Genomic DNA, 18,661 nt, shown 5'->3' with positions numbered 1-18,661 from the left:
TGGATGGGGGAGAAAGACACGGAGCCTTCTTCCTCAACAACTGATAGCAAGCATGTATGGTTAATAGCTAGGTGTAATGAAGCTTGTGTATGTGTATTTTGTTTTGTTTTTTTTTTTTTGACCATCTGCTGGGGATGAGCATCATCCTGAACGTGGAAAAGATGTTTGCTTTCTTAGGAGTGATGTTTATTTAGCTGGACACTGGACATTGTTTTTGTGTTTTTTTCTCTGACTTATTCAGTGATCTTGCATTTTACCAGCCCAAGAACCTTTACAAAATGAGGATAAAATAAGATATATCATTCATTTACTCTTTCCCAGAGGGCCACATGGAAGTAAATACGGTAAAGTTAATAAAACTATATAGAGATCCAAAAAGATAATAGGATTGTAATAATGTGATGCAGGGCTGGGCGTGGTTGCTCACGGCTGTAATCCCAGCACTTTGGGAGGCCGAGGCGGGAGGATCACCTGAGGTCGGGAGTTGGAGACCAGCCTGACCAACATGGAGAAACCCCGTCTCTACTAAGTTAGCCGAGCGTGGTGGCGCATGCCTGTAATCCCAGCTACTCGGGAGGCTGAGGAGGCGGAGGTTGCGGTGAGCGAAGATTGTGCGCCATTGCACTCCAGCCTGGGCAACAAGAGCGAAGAAACTCCACCTCAAATAATAATAATAATAATAATGTGATGCAATGCAAAATGCAGTATTACAACTTTTATTGTGATTTTTATAAAATCCTAAATATCTTTGATTTATGTTTTCGTTGAGTATGTCTTCCTTTCTGTTTGATACAATCTAAAAATTTTAGAGCTATGAACACCAGAGGAAATAATGCCCTTCTTTTACAGTAAAGGAAACTGAAGGCCATAGAGAGTAGGCACCTTTCCTAGGGTCATACAAATACATCAGTCAGAACTGGATTGTAGCTCCTGACTCAGTCTAAGGCTGTGAACTTTACCTGGAAATAGGGAGGTGTATAGACACGTTTAATTTATAATTCAGGGTGACATTGGTTGGTACCAGAAGGAAAATAATTGCTTTATCATAAGCAACATATATTTGTTCAGCAGCTTTTATGTGCAAGACACTTGGGTATAATGCCTACAGAGAATGCAGAGAAGCAAAAACATCATGACACTTTGCAGAGAAGCAAAAACATCATGACACTCACTTTTTTTTTTTTTTTTTTTTTTTACAGAGGGTCTGGGTTTCACCACATTTCCCAGGCTGGTCTTGAACTCCTGAGCTCAGACGATCCACCTGCCCAAAGTGCTGGGATTACAGGCATGAGCCACTGCACCTGGCTGACACTTTTTTTTTTTTTTTTTTGAGATGGAGTTTTGCTCCTGTTGCCCAGGCTGGAGTGCAGTGGCTGGATCTTAGCTCACTGCAACCTCTACCTCCCCGGTTCAAGCGATTGTCCTGTCCCAGCCTCCCGAGTAGCTGGGATTACAGGTGCCTGCCGCCATGCCCAACTAATTTCTTGTATTTTTAGAAGAGACGGGGTTTCATCATGTTCGCCAGGCTGGTCTTGAACTCCTGACCTTAGGTGATCTGCCTGCCTTGGCCTCCCAAAGTGCTGGGATTACAGGTGTGAGCCACCACGCCCCGCCAACATTTGCTTTAAGAGACTTAAAGTACTTGAGGAGTCTAGGTTTGAACATACCTGAAAAATTGCTGACAAGAGTTAAATAACAGTTCAGGAAAATTACAGCTCTTTGAAACACTAGAGGAAAGGAAATTCTGGATAATAGCCTATTTTGTTTTATTAAAAATGTGTAAACTTTTTTTCTTTTTGCCTCTTGACATAGTTACGTATTTTCCCCTGTATTTGTTAAAGGAAAAATAAGTTGGGGGAGAGGTCCTGCTGTGTTCTTTTTTTTTTTTTTTTAACTAAAAAAGTTTTTTTAGAGACAGGATCTTGTTTCGTTGCTCAGGCTGGAGGGCAGTTACACACTCATAGCTCACTGCAGCCTTGAAGCTTCTGGCTTCAAGCGATCCTCCTGCTTACGCCTCCTGAAGTACTGTTATTACAGACATGATCCCGCATGCCCAGCCCCACTGTGTTCTTAAACTGGATGTACTGAGTAAAAATGAACCTTGTTTTGAAGGTTGATGGTCATTATTATGAATATCAGTTAATGTGACCTGAGAGAGAAAGCTGTAGGAACAAATGGTATAAATTATAGTGTCGAATGAAAATTACCTCCAAATTGGCCTTGGAATTAGCTTTCTTGGAAAAGTTGTAGATATCTGTTTTCTCTTTGGTCATTTGTTATACTTTGTCCTAATAACATTAGAGTGAAACTTTTGATTATTTAACAAATATTTACTGAGAATCATATTTTAGGACCTGTAATATGTCTGATGATTCTCTGGGCAGTATGAGACTAATTTTCCCCAAATTCCCTAGAAAATATTATTTTTCGTTCTAGGACATATCTTTGTTTATTGATATTGGTGTCATTATTAAAATACTATATTTCTAAGTCATCAGTGAACTGTAGTCACCTATCGACTTGGGAACCATTTTGTCTCAGGTATACTCACTTCATCCAGATAATATGAAGGAGGGATGTCCCTCATCCTTTCAAGAACTTGACTTTATGGTGTTTAGAGATATTCTGTATCTGAAAATAAAATTCTGCATTGTTAGAGAATAATATGCTTACTTATATATGACACTGGGCCGCAGTTTTCATCAATCTCCTAAATATTTTTGACAAAATTGTGAGATAGTGTTAAGAATAGCATCTTTGATAGAATAATAAAGTTGGAAGTCCAATATCATTTCTGCATATTGGATCAAAATTTATAAAATAACGTTTTGTATTCAGAATAGCACCCTATTTTGTAGGCTGGATGAGGTTGTTGGCAGGAAGATAATAAAAATAAGCTGAAATATGAACCTTATTTTCTCAGGGAGAACTCTAAACTTAGCATCATAGCTTTATTAGTCTCAGATAAGCCTATGGCTTCAGAATAATCTTTTAATAAAGTTTTAACAAAATCGAATGAACAATTTTTTGGTCCTTCTTTACATCAGCCTACACTCTCCCTCCTAAAGATAGCTAATTGACAGCTGTGAAAACTGGAGAGTAATGAAAATTTGTGAATTCCTGTTGACTTCATAAGATACTGTTTAATAATACTTTTTTTTTTTTTTTTGAGACAGTTTTGCTCTGTCATCCAGGCTGGAATGCAGTGGCGTAATCTGGGCTCACTACAACCTCCGCCTCCTAGGTTCAAGCTATTCTCTTGCCTCAGCTTCCCGAGTAGCTGTGATTACAGGTGTCTGCCACCGCACCTGATTGATTTTTGTATTTTTAGTAGAGATGGGGTTTCACCATGTTGGCCATGGTTGACCAGGCTGGTCTCCTGATCTCAGGTGATCCACCTGCCTTGGCCTCCCAAAGTGCTGGGATTACAGGCATGAGCCACCGTGCCTTAATACTACTTTATTAAATATTAACCCTTGAGTCAAGTCTTACATTTTGTGTGATGAGATGGGAAGTACACACAAAGTACTTCTGCTGCATACTGAATTATGTTAACTATTTTGAGGAAAAGCACTTGTGTAATTTCTGAGTCGCAAAATGAACTATATTCTTTTCCAATTTTACTTAACAGAACAACTCACAGATAATTATACCTACTCAAATTTGGGTATTTGGCAGGTAGTTTCTTAAAAATGAACGAAATAAGCCTGTCACTTCAAGGAAAACAACTCAAAGTGTTTGTTGCCAGTAATAACATTTGAACCTTCAAGTGAAAATGAGAAATTTGGAAAATCTATATCTGCCACCATGAGCTTGACAGCTTCCCAGTACTTAAAAACTTTTTTTGATGAGATAAGTGGTGACAGTCATGAATGTGAACGTTTGCTGTTATATCATGAAATGTGTCAACATTTGAAAAGTCTGTGTAACTCAGTAAACCATATTTTCTAAATATTTCATGGAATGATGTTACAAATTATGTGTTGGTAAAAGATGCCTTTCAAAGTGCAAGTCAGACCAATGGATTTCAGTGTTAACAGTATGAAAAATTCATTGATATGAGTTCAGATTCCTCGTTGCAACTGACCTTAAACTACCATCTGTTAGGTTTTGGCATAGTATCAAAGAAGAATATCTACAATTATCTGAAAATGCTGCTAAAATACTTCTCTCTCTTTCTAACAACATATCTGCGTGAAGCCGAATTTTCTTCATATACTTCAACCAAAACAACATATTGCAGTAGACTGGATGCAGCATTAGATATGCAAATGCAACTGGCTTCTACTAAGCGAGACATTAAAAAAATTAAAAAATGTAAAACAGTGCTACTTTTCTCACTAATTTTTTTTAGAATATGTAGTTATTTTGCATGAAATGTTATTTATGTTAACATCTAATGGGTTTATTATTTTTAAATGAATTAATACACATTTTTTAAATGTCCCAGTTTTAATTTCTAATGTGGTAAATATCGATAGATATAACCCATATAAATGATGGCTCTTTAAGATCCTTAATTTCTGAGAGTATAAAGGGATTACAAGACTAAAAAAATTGAAAACTGCTGCCCTAAGTTCCTTTTTCATGGTCAGAGGTGGCTTACCATCACCACATGTATATCCTATCCAGAGCAAAGGGAAAGGGGAAGACAAGCTCCTTTTCTTTTTAAGGAAGGTATTTGTATCACTTTTCCACACATCCAGTCCCCAGAACCTAGGCAGAAGTTGGATGGCCATGTATAATGTTTAGCCGGATGATCATGTGTCCAGCTGAGACTTCTGTTACTATAGGAGAAATGGAGAACTATTGGCATTTGTTTCTGCCACTGGATAGTGTCTGGATAAAAAACAAAAATAGTTATAATTGCTATTTTTATGTCTTAAAGTTTGTATAATTTATCTCATTTATTATTTCTAACAGTCTGGTAGTTCATGTGATTTTAGAGAGTCCAGAATTGAAGCCCAGACTCTATTTAGCATTTAAGACAGAATGATGTAGTAAAGGGATATTGAGCTTTGGAGTCAAACACTCTTTGATTTAAATCCGGACTACTAATTCAGGATATACTAATGTGTGAACTGAGACAACCCTCCTGAGCTTCTCTCTTCATTTATAAAATGAGTTTGTGATGGCATACCTAGCAGGATTTTTTTTTTGGCCCATTTGAGATAAAATATGTGAAGTGTTTGGTCTATCGTGATTGTTCAAGAAATGTGGCTCCTTCTTTTTCACCCTTTCTTCTCTCTATTCCATCATAACAGGGCTGCTTCTATGTAAGTATACATTTTAATAACAGCATAGGGCCATGCAATTAATCGCTAAGCAAATGATAGAGGTGGTAATTGTTATGAATTCAGAGGTAGATGAGATCATTGTAGACTGAAAGGGTTCTTAGAATCTGAAATTTGAGTAGAACTGGAAGGTCGTGCAGCATCTTGAAAAGCTGAGGAAAGAAGAAAAGGCATTTCAGGTGAGTGGAGTAACAAGCAAAACCCTGAACTAGGAATACCTAAGGCAGTCAGTAGATCATTCTGGTTAGATGAAGGCATCAGTTAGAGTAATGGGAAACAGTGGGAAAATCCCTGAGAAGTAGATAGGTTCTGTGGATGAGTTAAGAACAGTTACAGGCTCTATTCTAATAGAAAGATGAGACTTTACACAAAACTTTCTAAACACATGGTAGAAAAAGTGAAAAGTACCATAAAAGATATATAGAGTAAATGCTCTAAGAGTTCATAAGGAAGGAAGATGACTTCTGGCAGTGGGAATCAGGGCCTGTATAGTGAATTCTGCACTTGTGTGAATTTCATTTATGCTTATTCTTAATGAAAATTTCACTGTGCAGTTTAACTACAAATGTCGGTTGAGGATTAAAATTAAGTATTGACCTCAAACAAAAGATGATAAGACTATTGTAGAAAAACGGAATTGTATTTTTGAGAACCCATGAAATTTTTTGCATGGCTTTTGGCATCCAAATTTATATTGATGAATTTCATAATAGGGTACTTTAAAAGTAGTACACTGTTTTCCCTGGAATTTTGGAGAGTTAAAATGCTAATAGCGTTATGAGAATCAGCATGAAGAAACAGTGTTATGAATTCTGATAAATTATGAATTCTAAACCTTATTAATTTCATATTAAAAATTCTTTTACTTTATACATGGTAATAAAGAGTATTTAATCTATATTGATAACTTGTCTTATATATAGTCTACTAACTTCGAAGTGCAACCGTTTATCACAGTTTTTCTGTATTACAGTATTAGATAATAGTTGTTTTATGCAGTAAGCCAAAGTAGGCTGTATGTAATGTTTGATTCTGTTTGATTGTTTTTGTTTGCTTTGGCAAAGAATGTTAAATTTTGCTATTCCATATAGATGCAAATATTTTCCAACCTATGGTTACTGAATATACATAATACATTTGAAAAGGAAAAGTTTCCCAGACATTTCTTTGAAAAATAAGTTCTTGATTTTCCTTCCCTCATTTAGGTCAAAGTTGGAAATTGTAATACTCCTAAACCAAGCTTCTTTGATTTTGAAGGAAAGCAAAAATGGTAAGAAATTCCTGGAATCTTTAATGAGGTTGTTGGAAATGGCTTAGGTGTTTAGGAATTAGAAAGCAGTGAGCTGATTAAAGAATTATTTTTATATTAATCTCTCTCTCTGCTGTAGATTGTACTAATGACAGGCAATTGGGAGAGATTAAAGAAATCTACTTTTAGCTAAGTCTCCTGAAGGATTCTTATGCTAGCATGTTGGAATATAAGTGGTTCACAACAGACATACATGCCTTACATTTTAATACCATGAGAGCTATTGCTTGAGATTTTCCTTTCCTGTCATTCAACCCCTAATGGATCACCACTTCTCCCCTCTGGAGGGATTTTTGGAAGAAGGCCAGAATGATGGGAAGGGCAGAAGAGCAGGATAAATCCCCATTTTTCACCCATCTTCCTTGTCCCAGTTTTATCTCCCTGTCTCTTGCTACTTACTCTTGTGTTCCTTGCCCCACCCATGCCACAGTAAATAACTGCTTATAGTACTCTTGGGAAGAAGGGAAAAATTCAGTGAAAAGCCAAAACCAGATACTAACTTCTCTTTTTCTCTGAATATATAAAAAAAAGAGTATACTTTTGCAAACTTTTTTAACTTATAATTCAGAAGTTCCCCCTTGTCATTTATGAGACCTTATCTTCTCTTACCTTGTCTAAGTGAAAGAAGAGAAATTGCATACAACTGGGAATCTTAGTTATAGAAGGGAAGGCTTTGGAGCATCAGCCCTGGAATTAAGGTTAGAAGGTAGAGTTAGAAAAGAAAAAAGATAAAATATGGTTATAGAGAGAGGAAGTGATAAAATATGGGTTCTTACTTTACATTCTAGAGCAGTCCCACATAAAATCTGGTCCCCTGGATACATTTCCTGCCTGCCAACTGTTTGTTACCCAACTGTTAGGAGATACAGAGCTTGAACCCAGATATAAATCACGTATGTCACTAACCACGCTGTTTAGTTCAGCTGATTTTTTTTTGTATAGGACAGTCTCAGTGAAGGAAGCAGTGCATTGATTATATTCTTGCACAAGTTTTTTGGTTGATGATAACCAGCCAACATATTATTACTGTTCTAAAGAATACCTGATGTTAACGTTGACAGTGAGTTTTTTGTTATAATTTATGAAATTTTATACCTTTATTTTTTTCTGTGCTTTGCCTGTTTCTCCATTGTTTTTAGCAATTAAAAAATTTAGATTTTATAGCCACCATAATAATAGTTTATGCAAGAACATCAACGAATGATTAAATATTAGATGATAAAATATTGGGGAACTGTTAGAGAAAAACTATTGAGGAAAATTTTTGTTAAAATGCTAGGTGAAAAACTATTGGGGAGCAAAACCGTGGGTTACAGGCTGACCCACCATTTACTTTTTAATTATGAGAGAGAAACCTGACAGTTACTGCCGTTACCAAACCATGAATCTTATTGATGATGGGACAGACTAACATCACGTGCCCCCAGTGTGATGCATTGAAAAGGGCATGTCACCTATATATTACTCTGCTGAAATAATTTAACCCAATTCTAATCATGATTAATCATTTTTGGCAAGAACACTGTAGGTAAGGAAACAATTAGACAAATTCAAATTGAGGGATATGTTATAAAACAGTTGGACTCTTAAAAAATACCAACAATGTGGAAGACAAAAAAGCTGAAGATACATGAAACTCAATGCTGTGTGTGGATCTTGATTGGTTCCTGGTGTGGGAGAAGAAAGCCATAAAGGACATTATTGGGACAATCAGGAAAATCTGAATGTATAGCCTCTATATTGTATAATAGTAATTGATGATAAATTTCCTGAGTTTGTGTAAGCTGATCTATTTAGGGATGAAGTGTTATGATGCGTATAAGTAATTCTTAAGGAATTCAGTGAAAATAAATTTAGAAAACCTCAGAAAGATATTATATTCATCATAGAAGCAGGAAGGTAGTGAAAAAATGTGGGATTGAGTTCTGTTTGACAGCAAATCAGGGAAATCGAGAAACACTGGTTGGAATTTAGAAAGAATTGGCAGGGAAAAACCAAGAAGAAGGCCTGTCCTGGCAGCCTGTTGTGGGGGCAGGGGGGTAGATGACCCAAAAGGAAGCTCAGGACTAAAATGTTGCTTTTGCCATTTATATTGTAGGAAGTCCCTAACTTACTCATTAGTATTCTTTAGTTGCTGTTGTTGTTTTTTTTTTTTTTTTTTTTTTTTTTTTTTTGAGACAGAATTTTGCTCTGTTGCCCAGGCTGGAGTGTGGTGGTGCCATCTCAGCTTACTGCAACCTCTGCCTCCCAGGTTCAAGCAATTCTCCTGCCTCGGCCTCCAGAGTAGCTGGACTACAGGCGCACACCACCACGCCTGGCTAATTTTTGTATCTTTAGTAGAGATGGGGTTTCACCATGTTGGCCAGGCTGGTCTCAAACTCCTGACCTCAGGTGGTCCACCTGCCTCAGCCTCCCAAAGTGCTGGGATTACAGGCGTGAGCCACCAAGCCTGGCCAGTATTCTTATTTCTGCCCTCACCATCCCTTACTTTTGAAGTCCCAGACTAAGTCCCCAGGATCAGTTACTAGAAGCTTATAGATGAGATAACAGCAGAAAGGGAAGGTGGATTTCTTGTATCTTAGTAAGAAGTTTGATGCATTTTCCTTGGGAATATTGTTTTTTATGTGATGATTAGTTTCTGTACGACCAAAATGCCATAAGCACAGTTAATTTATGAGAATAATCTCTATTAGTCTGTAGATCATATATCCTCAATAGGGGTGAAATTTTGTTTGAGGAAATTATAAAATCTTAGATTACAGTGGTTTGTGGTCTTTCAAAATTTAATAGCTATGCATTGTATCTGTGTTTTTAAAATTTCACGGGGAGGACGATTAGGAAAAAAAATGTCTGAAAAGACTGCTTAGGTAGGGCAATAAGGTCTGTATAGCTCTAGACCAATGTAAATGCAAAAAGACAGAGCTTCTCTATCCATAGCTTATTATCTCTATATTCAGAGACCCTTGAAATGTGCATACAGTTTTTTTAATAATAAGAAAAATGCTGTTTGTGTTATTTGCATAATGACAGGCCATTTTGGATATTCCATATTGTAGGGAAGCTTGGAAAGCACTTGGTGATTCAAGCCCCAGCCAAGCAATGCAGGAATATATCGCAGTAGTTAAAAAACTAGATCCAGGTTGGAATCCTCAGGTAAGACTTAATGATTATAAATAATACTTTCCAAAAACTTATGATCCTTCTCTGAAATAAATGTCTAAAACTAAACTTAGTTTTAAGTAACATGCTTAAAGTTTTACTTTCTTGAAATATTTTAAAGTTATTGTAATATTTATCTAATAAAATAATTGCTGGCCAGGTGTGGTGGCTCATACCTGTAATCCCAGCACTCTGGGAGGCCAAGCCAGGTGGTTCACCTGAGGTAAGAGTTCAAGACCGGCCTGGCCAGCATGGTGAAATCTCATCTCTACTAAAAATACAAAAATTAGCTGGACGTGGTGGTACACACCTGTAATCCCAGCTACTCAGGAAGCTGAGGCAGGGGAATCAATTGAACCTGGGAGGCTGAGGCTGCAGTGAGCCAAAATCAGGCCACTGCACTCCAGCCTGGGTGACAGTGTGAGACTCCATCTCAGAAAAATGAAAAAAATTAATAATAATTACTTAAATAGTAATATAACCAGCTACTGATGCTGAGAACTTCTCTGAGTTGCAGAGTTTTTGAAAGCAGAAAAATTTGAATTACATAAGAATTGGAAAGAGTTTAACTTGAGATTATCATGCTGGAAAAAAGGTTACTCTTGGATTTCGTTTTTATGATCACTTTCTATGCAAGGGCAAAATGCTTATTAGGGATAAAAGATGAATAAGACATGATTTCTGCCATTATGTAGTTTAAAGTGTAATAGAGAAGATAAAACATATCAAAATATATATCTTTAATAGTATAAAACAATAATAATGTAAATGCTAGGGAATCCAGCAGGAAAAGGGATTGCTTTGGACTTTGGAAGCATTGGATATTGTTCACTTAAATATACCCTGTTTTTCTCATATACTTATTGGAGAACATCTAGAAAGAATTTAATAAAGGTGAGGTTACTATTTAAGAATATTGTTAAATGATTAACAGGTATTTCAGTGAGATAGAGGTTGCATTGTACCATGTAAAAAATGCAAATTGAATTTTTTTCAATAAAAATATTAAGGCCAAACATTTTAGCAGTTAATGAATTAAACAATTTTCAGTGTTTTTGTAATAATTACATAATTTCATGTGTACATAGTTGTTACTGGTATGAAGGAATTTGTTCCATTAATCATGGAATCTTAAAAATCTCAGACTTGTTAGGAACTTTAAAAGATTATATATTATGACATATTAAAAATGTATCTTAAGAGTACAAAGTGGGAGTGATAACCAACTTTGGATATCTTTAATGATATGACTGCCTTTTAGAAGTCATTGAAAAATGTCCTTTTTTTTTTTTTTTTTTTTTATATGAGACAGAGTCTCACTCTATCACTCAGACTGGAGCACAGTAGTAGGATCTTGGCTCAACGTAACCTCCACCTCCCAGGTTCAAGTGATTCTCCCACTTCAGCCTCTGGGACTATAGGTGCACACCACTACACCTGGCTAATTTTTAAATTTTTTTTCTTTTTTTTTTTTTTTGAGACAGAGTCTCACTCTGTCGCCCAGGCTGGAGTGCAGTGGCGCAATCTCGGCTCACTGTAAGCTCTGCCTCCTGGGTTCCCGCCATTCTCCTGCCTCAGCCGCCTGAGTAGCTGGGACTACAGGCGTCCACCACCACACCCGGTTAATTTTTTTATTTTTATTTTTATCTTTAGTAGAGACGGGGTTTCACCGTGTTAGCCAAGTTGGTCTCGATCTCCTGACCTCGTGATCTGCCCGCCTCGGCCTCCCAAAGTGCTGGGATTACAGGGGTGAGCCACTGCGCCTGGCCTCTTTTTTTTTTTTGTAGAGATAGGGTTTTGCCATGTTGGCCAGGCTGATCTTGAACTCCTGATCTCATGTGATCCACCCGCTTCGGCCTCCCAAAGTGCTGGGATTATAGGCATGAGAAATTTCCTTATGTTTCTGATGTGCATGAGTCTTCATTTTCAGAAATTTTCTATTTTATTATCTTTTATAAGACACCAAATATGCATACAAATATGTTTCTCAAGGTTCTGAGGGCTTAAAATCTGAAAATCAGTGCTCAAAACAGGTGCCCCCTGAGCTGAACTCAGCCTGAACAACTGTTGCACAATGTTTAGAAATGAAACAAAACTTGAATGTGAGTGCCTTTAGGCAGAGTATTTTTCAGGTCCAGTCACTGTGTTCTCATCCTTCCCTGTTGATTTATACTACACTATTGGTGATGCTTGGCCTATGAAGGCATTTTAGTTTATAAATTCTGATAAAAGACAGAATTTATGATTTCTTACCTTCAGTACTTTAGTAAAATTTTGTTAACTATTACTCTTAAAATGCTTGCAGGCCAAGCACAGTGGCTCACGCCTGTAATCCCAACACTTTGGGAGGCTGAGGCGGGTGGATCACCTGAGGTCAGGAGTTCGAGTCCAGCCTGACCAACATGGTGAAATCCCGTCTCTACTAAAAAAATGCAAAAATTAGCCAGCAATGGTGGCAAGTGCCTGTAGTCCCAGCTATGCGGGAGCCTGAGGCAGGAGAATCGCTTGAACCCGGGAGGCAGAGGTTGCAGTGAGCCGAGGTTGTGCCATTGCACTCCAGCCTGGGCGACAGAGCAAGACTCCATCTCAAAAAAAAAAACGACTTGCAGATTCCAAACAGGTGTTGAGGATGGTTTTTAAAAATGTCTAAATCTAACCTATTGAACATACACTTGAGTAAACCAAGCAGAACCAAAGGCACTTTCATATTCTTTAATTAATTATTTAATACATTAAATAATAAACTTTAAAAAATTAATATATTTAATACATTAAATAACATTAAAAGAATATATAACATACTATTCTAAAAGTATTTTAACATTGGAATCCAGTTGTAAGGAGGAATTTTATTTTTTATTTACATTTTAGTTTTTAGTTTAAACACTGAGCTGGTCCCCTTTGACTCATAGCTTTTTTTTTTGTCTTTACTTTTAAACTGTTAGGAGGCAGATCATAACCTCCATCTCAGAAGAGATTTGGCATTTAGTTCATTATCTTTTAGGTTAAATAATAATTTTCTTTTGATATTCTAAAAAATAAAATAAAATAAGAACAACACTCATTCTGAATGTGCTGAGTTTTTTTTTATTTTTTTGAGATGGAGTCTCTCTCTGTCACCCAGGCTGGAGTGCAGTGGCACAATCTCAGCTTACTGCACCCTCCGCCTCCCAGGTTCAAACAATTCTTCTGCCTCAGCCTCCTGAATAGCTAGCATGAGCCACTGCACCTGGCCTGAATGTGCTGAGTTCTTTACATGTATTGTCTTTTGATATCTTCACAAAAAGTCTTCACAGTTAGAAACTACTATAATCTGCATTTCAAAAACGAGGAAATTCAGACACAGACAGATTTAGTAACTTGCCTAAAATTAGCCAGCTAAGGCCAGGTGTGGTGGCTCACTCCTGTAATTCCTATAATTTGGGAGGCTGAGGCAGGAGGATCACTTGAGGCCAGGAGTTTGAGAGCAGCCTGGGCAACAAAGCAAGACCCCATCTCTATTTTAAAAAAAGAACAAAAAAATTAGCCAGGCATGGTGGTGTGCCCTGTAGTCTCAGCTACCTGGGAGACTGAGGTGGGAGAATCCATTGAACGTAGGAGTTCAGGGTTGCAGTCAGCTATGATTGCACCACTGCACTCCAGTCTGGGTGACAGAGTGAGACCCCATCTCAAAAAAAAAAAGCCAACTAACAAAAGATGGCACTGGATTTAGACCTATATTTATATGAGTCCAGAGCCCTGTTGTTAACCACTCTGCTATCTGTTCTACAGCTGATATTGGAAATATATCTATAAGGTATAAACTTAAGTGTATGTATACGTGTAAAAAATTCAAGGCAGCTATTTTTGTCAAAGCTCTGTGGTACCTTGAGGTATAAAACAATGCTTTAAAATTCATCTTTAAAAATAACTATGTTTTCTGTTATGTGTTTCATCTTATCTCAAGAATATGTTGTTCAATGTCTACTATAATTAAGGCAATTATTTTGCCTTTGTTTTGGGGGGAGGATAAGTTTTTTTTTGTTTTGTTTTTACAGTTTCGAATAATATAAGGAACTTCTGTAAGGCCTTTATCCAGATTCACTGCTGGTTATATTTGCTTTATCATTCTCTTTCTTTACACATAGACACACATGTATGTAACACACACACACACACAACACACACACAAATACATTTTTTCCGAATTGTTTGAGATAAGTTGGAGACATCATGTTCCTTTATCACTGGTTCAGGATTTTTTTCCTAAGAAAAAGAACCTTTTCTTATGCAGTGGTCCCTCCTTATCAGGGGATACGTTCCAAGACCCCCAGTGAGTACCTGAAACTGTGGCTAGTACTAACCTGATTGCTATCAGTTGGAAAACATTTCTGTGCATGTCTTCAATCCACAAAGTAAATGTTTTTGTCTTCTATACTGAGTACTTTTGTTGCATTATGGCTGTAACTTTTGTAGTTTAAGGTGTGACAGGAAAACTAGCACAAGTTTTTTTTTCTTCACAATTTCTTGGGTAGAAGATTTGTTCTTACTATAGACCTTAGTAACCTCAGCATATGATTTTTTTCTTTCCTTAAGTTGAGAACTTTTACCTTTTCACCTAAAGGAAGCAATTTATGGCTTCTCTTTGGCACACTGAATTGCCATTATCACAACTCTTGTACTTTGGGGCCATTATTAAGTAAAATAATGGTTACTTGAACACAAACATGGTACTGCAGCAGTCGACAGTCGATCTGATAACCTTGAAGGGAACTAAGTGACTAATGGGCAGGTAGCATATACAGTGCGACTATACTGGCTAGACAAAAGGATGATTTGTGTTCTAGGCGGGATGCAGTGGGTTGGAGTGGAGGGCGTGAGATGGTGTGAAATTTCATCACACTGCCCAGAATGGTGCACAGTTTAAAACTTAGGAATGGTTTATTTCTCGAATTTTCCATTTAATATTTTGGGTTGGCAGTGGGTAACTGCAATGGTGGAAAGTGAAACTGTGGATAAAGGAGGGCTACTGTATAAGTATACTATAATGATCAAAATCAGCAATTTTAACATTGATTTAGTATTTTCAAGTCTGTAGTCCATATTCAAATTTATCATTATAATGATAATGTCCTTAATAATGCCCTTCATAATTATTCTTCAAATGCTGATCCATCTTCTAACGCAGGGTCATGCATCGTATTTAGTTGTCATGTATCTTTAGTCTCCTCTAATGGAGCAGTTTCTCAGCCATTTTTTTTTCCCTTTCTTGCCCATGATACTTTTGCAGATTACAGACCAGTTGTTTTGTAGAATGTCCCTTATTTTGGGTTTGCCTGGTGTTTCCTTATAATTAGATTTAGATTATACATTTTCAAGAAGAATACCACACAATTTTGTCCTCCTCAATGCATCAGACCAGGAGGTACATGATATCTGTTTGTCCCAATATTGGGATGTTAACTTTGATCACTTGGGTAAGGTGGTGTCTGCCAGACTTCTTTACTATGAAGTTCCTATTTTTCCCTTTGTAATTAATGGGAAGTTAATTCCTTTTGTAATTAATTAATGAGTACTTTGTGGGGAAACAGTTTGAGACTATGTAAATATCCTTTTCCTAGTCAGATTTCACCCACTAGTTTTAATATTTGTGAATTATTTTTTAACTCCATAATTTTGTCTTCATTTATTATTTAGCATTCCACTGTAAGGATGGACTTTCCCTTTCTGCCCATTTATTCATTGTTGAGAACTTTCCTCCCATTTATTTATTTATTCGTTGTCAAGAACTGTGAAAGGTCTGAGATTTTACTCTACCTGGAACCTGGTAAGTTAGCCTGTTACTGTTTCTTAGATGCTGGCAGAAAGCATAAGACTCTTGGGTCAGAGCCAAAGGGCTTTATTATCCATGGCATGGCAAACTGTATGAGCTTCATTTGGTTTGCATTGATTTTTTTGTGTCCCTCACATTGATTTTTTTGTGTCCCTGCTGTGACCAGCAGGTGGTCCTAGCTGGATTCTTACATATGCAGTGTATTGTGCTATAGGGAAGGAGCACTGAACTATGGGGATTGACCACTTTTTTAGCAAGCCTGATTGTTGTCAGGGGATAGAGATACGTTACCTCATCCCTGAAGATGGCTTCCTGCATACACAATCCTGAGAAATGGCCCAGGTAAAGAATGGTCAGGGCCTGGTCTATTGAACAAGAATGTGTAGGGACACTCGGGGCTCATAGTAGATTGCCTCTCTCAACATTCATGTATTTATATCAGTTTAGACTCATGGATTTTTATTCAGTGGGATATAAAAATCCATTAAAATCATTTTTTTTTTTTTTGCTACTGGGAGTACCTTCAAGATGGCTCCTGTATTTATATTGGTATAAACTCATGGATTTTTCTTTTATTCAGTGGGGTATAATTCATTAAAAGCATTTATTTGGCTATTTGGAGCTTTTTAAAGATGGCTTCTATGTCCTTTTTGATACATCCCCATCATTGAGCATTTTCTTACTTCTTGGCACAAGACGTTTCAAGCAGTGTTAGTTTCCTAGGGCTACTGTAGTAAAGTACCACAGACGAGCACATTGTGGTTTAAAACAACAGAAAATTATTCTCTCACAGTTGTGGAGGTGTTGGAAAGAAGGTGTTAGTAGAGCCATGCTCCCTGTGAAGGTTGTAGAGAAGAATCATTTCTTGCCTCTTCCAGCTTATGGTGGCCCCAGGCATTGTTTGACTTGTGGCAGCCCAGCTCCATTCTTAGCCTTTGTCTTCACATGGCTTTCTTCCCTATGTTTCTATATCCAAATCTCCCTCTCCTTTTTCTGGTAGACACTAGTAATTGAATTTAGGGCCCACCTTAATCCAGTATGACCTCATTTTAACTTACATCTGCCAAGATCCTATTTCCAATTAAGGTCTCATTGACAGGTACTTGGGATTAAGATTTGGGCATACCTTTTTGGGGGTCACAATTCAACTCACTACACAGATTTATCTGATGTTTGCCCTGCCCTATCCCTGGAATTGGCTGCTTCTCTTTAACTCTTTAGTAGAGAATAGTATTTAGAAACCAAGGTCTGGATGCTAGGGTATGTTCATTGCTACTGGAGTGTCATTGCTTCTAGGCCCTCTCAGAAGACAGATCTAAAATTACATACCCTCAAATGTATGTATCTATAGATACACACACTTTTTTTTTTTTTTTGAGACAGAGTCTCACTCTGTTGCCCAGGCTGGACAGATTTGCAGTTGTGCAATCTCGGCTCACTGCAACCCCCGCCTTCCGGGTTCAAGCAATTCTCTGCCTCAGCCTCCTGAGTAGCTGGTAGCTGGGATTACAGGCGCCCACCACCACGCCCAGCTAATTTTTGTATTTTTAGTAGAGACGGGGTTTCACCATGTTGGCCAGGCTGGTCTTGAACTCCTGACCTCATGATCCACCCGCCTCAGCCTCCCAAAGTGCTGGGATTAAAGGTGTGAGCCACCGCGCCCAGCCATACACACATTTTGTATATACATGCATACATAACATATGTATGTATACGTATACATACGTGCGTAGATACACATGTTGAATACATATTCATTGTAGACACAGACGTGTATACATGTATTAATACTTATATTACTCTGACACGTGTATATCCTATATCAGTATTTATATATTTATCTACTTGTATACTAAAAACCATAAGTTTATATTCATACCTGTAATTCCAACCCAACACTACAGGGTACATGATAGCCTTCCCTCTTTCATATTTGTAACTCCTTTCTCCAACAGAACAACCCTGCTCCCAGTATCCTCAATGTAGTTACTCATTTGCTTAAGTCTAGAATATACAGAAAGTAGTTTCAGAATTTCTAACCTATACCACTGTGAAAAGAAAATTTACCAATAAAGTTCTCAATAGGAATCTTACTTTGTTTTTTGGCAAAATTTATGTATAGTGAAATGTACAAACATTAAGTGTGTAATTCAATGAGTTTTGACAAATAATAAGGCAGTTTTGTAAAAACTTTGGTGAAATTGGAAAATAACCGCACCCCAGTCACCTTGTTTTTTTGGCTACTACTAAATTGACTCTGATCACATGGAAGTGTAATAATTTTCTTTAGTGTGAATGCCCTGAGCCATGAGGTAACCCTGTTCTGAAGTGGTTTCCTTGCTTGTAAATAAATAATGTTGACATGTAAAGCAGGACCACCAAACTGTAAGTCTTGTAGTAATTTTAATGTATTTTCCACTCTGGACAAAAAGATGTGTTTTTATTCCTGATAAATATTAATAGTTCTAGAAGAGGACATTTTCCAAATTAAAGAATTAGGTATTTTTTCATAATTCCCGGGTAGTATCTGATATTTTCCATAGCTCTTTGGAGAAGATTCTTGTTCAAGATGCATGGGTACTATTTCTTTTGAGTCCTATTATACAAAAGCTTTCAAGTACTAATAGCAGAATGATTACATTTGAGTGTATTTGGTATCTTAGTCATATACACTAGGCAAAAACAAAAAAGCAGCCCATTAATGACATTAATGATCTCTCTCCAGATATCACTGATTAAAAGATTAATAGTATGTATTTTGCATATATAATTGTATCCTAATCTGTAATAGATTACCATTTTATATTGAACCAAATATAAAATGAGGCATTTTGTTCTTTTTTCTACCATGTATTAAGGTATTATTGATACTAGTCAGTCATTTATTTCACACATTAGTTTTATACTTACTGTGTGCAAGTTGTAGTTCTAGGGGCTGGGGATTTAGCACTGAACACAGCAGAACAACCCCTGCTCTTAGGAAGCTTACAGTCGGACAGAGATAAGTAATAAAGTAAATATTATAGTAAATATTAATAATGTATTAGTAAAGTTGTAGTGTCTTAGAAAGTGATTAGCACTGTGGAG

General features: G+C 37.0%; 1 protein-coding gene across 7 annotated transcripts in view, besides 2 other annotated features; it reads left to right on the top strand.

The window, feature by feature from the left end:
* Nucleotides 1-18,661, top strand: part of ACBD6 (acyl-CoA binding domain containing 6) — a 232,925-nt gene that overhangs the window by 553 nt on the left and 213,711 nt on the right. For all 7 annotated transcript variants that reach the window (XM_047432083.1, XM_047432080.1, XM_047432082.1 and 4 more), the window contains exons 2-3: nt 6,500-6,564; nt 9,660-9,756. In XM_047432083.1, coding sequence (XP_047288039.1) covers nt 6,500-6,564; nt 9,660-9,756 — 162 coding nt within the window. The remainder of the gene's footprint in view (nt 1-6,499; nt 6,565-9,659; nt 9,757-18,661) is intronic.
* Nucleotides 10-525: an enhancer, noted in NCBI's record as "H3K4me1 hESC enhancer chr1:180470635-180471150 (GRCh37/hg19 assembly coordinates)". NCBI's record gives its function as "activates a minimal SCP1, AML or CMV promoter by ChIP-STARR-seq in primed H9 embryonic stem cells {active_cell/tissue: H9 hESC(primed)}" and the evidence as "EXISTENCE:reporter gene assay evidence [ECO:0000049][PMID:30033119]".
* Nucleotides 526-1,041: an enhancer, noted in NCBI's record as "H3K4me1 hESC enhancer chr1:180470119-180470634 (GRCh37/hg19 assembly coordinates)". NCBI's record gives its function as "activates a minimal SCP1, AML or CMV promoter by ChIP-STARR-seq in primed H9 embryonic stem cells {active_cell/tissue: H9 hESC(primed)}" and the evidence as "EXISTENCE:reporter gene assay evidence [ECO:0000049][PMID:30033119]".

This window comes from Homo sapiens, chromosome 1 (assembly GCF_000001405.40).
Source record: "Homo sapiens chromosome 1, GRCh38.p14 Primary Assembly".
Lineage (NCBI taxonomy): Eukaryota > Metazoa > Chordata > Mammalia > Primates > Hominidae > Homo > Homo sapiens.
This window is presented reverse-complemented; position numbering and strand designations above follow the sequence as displayed.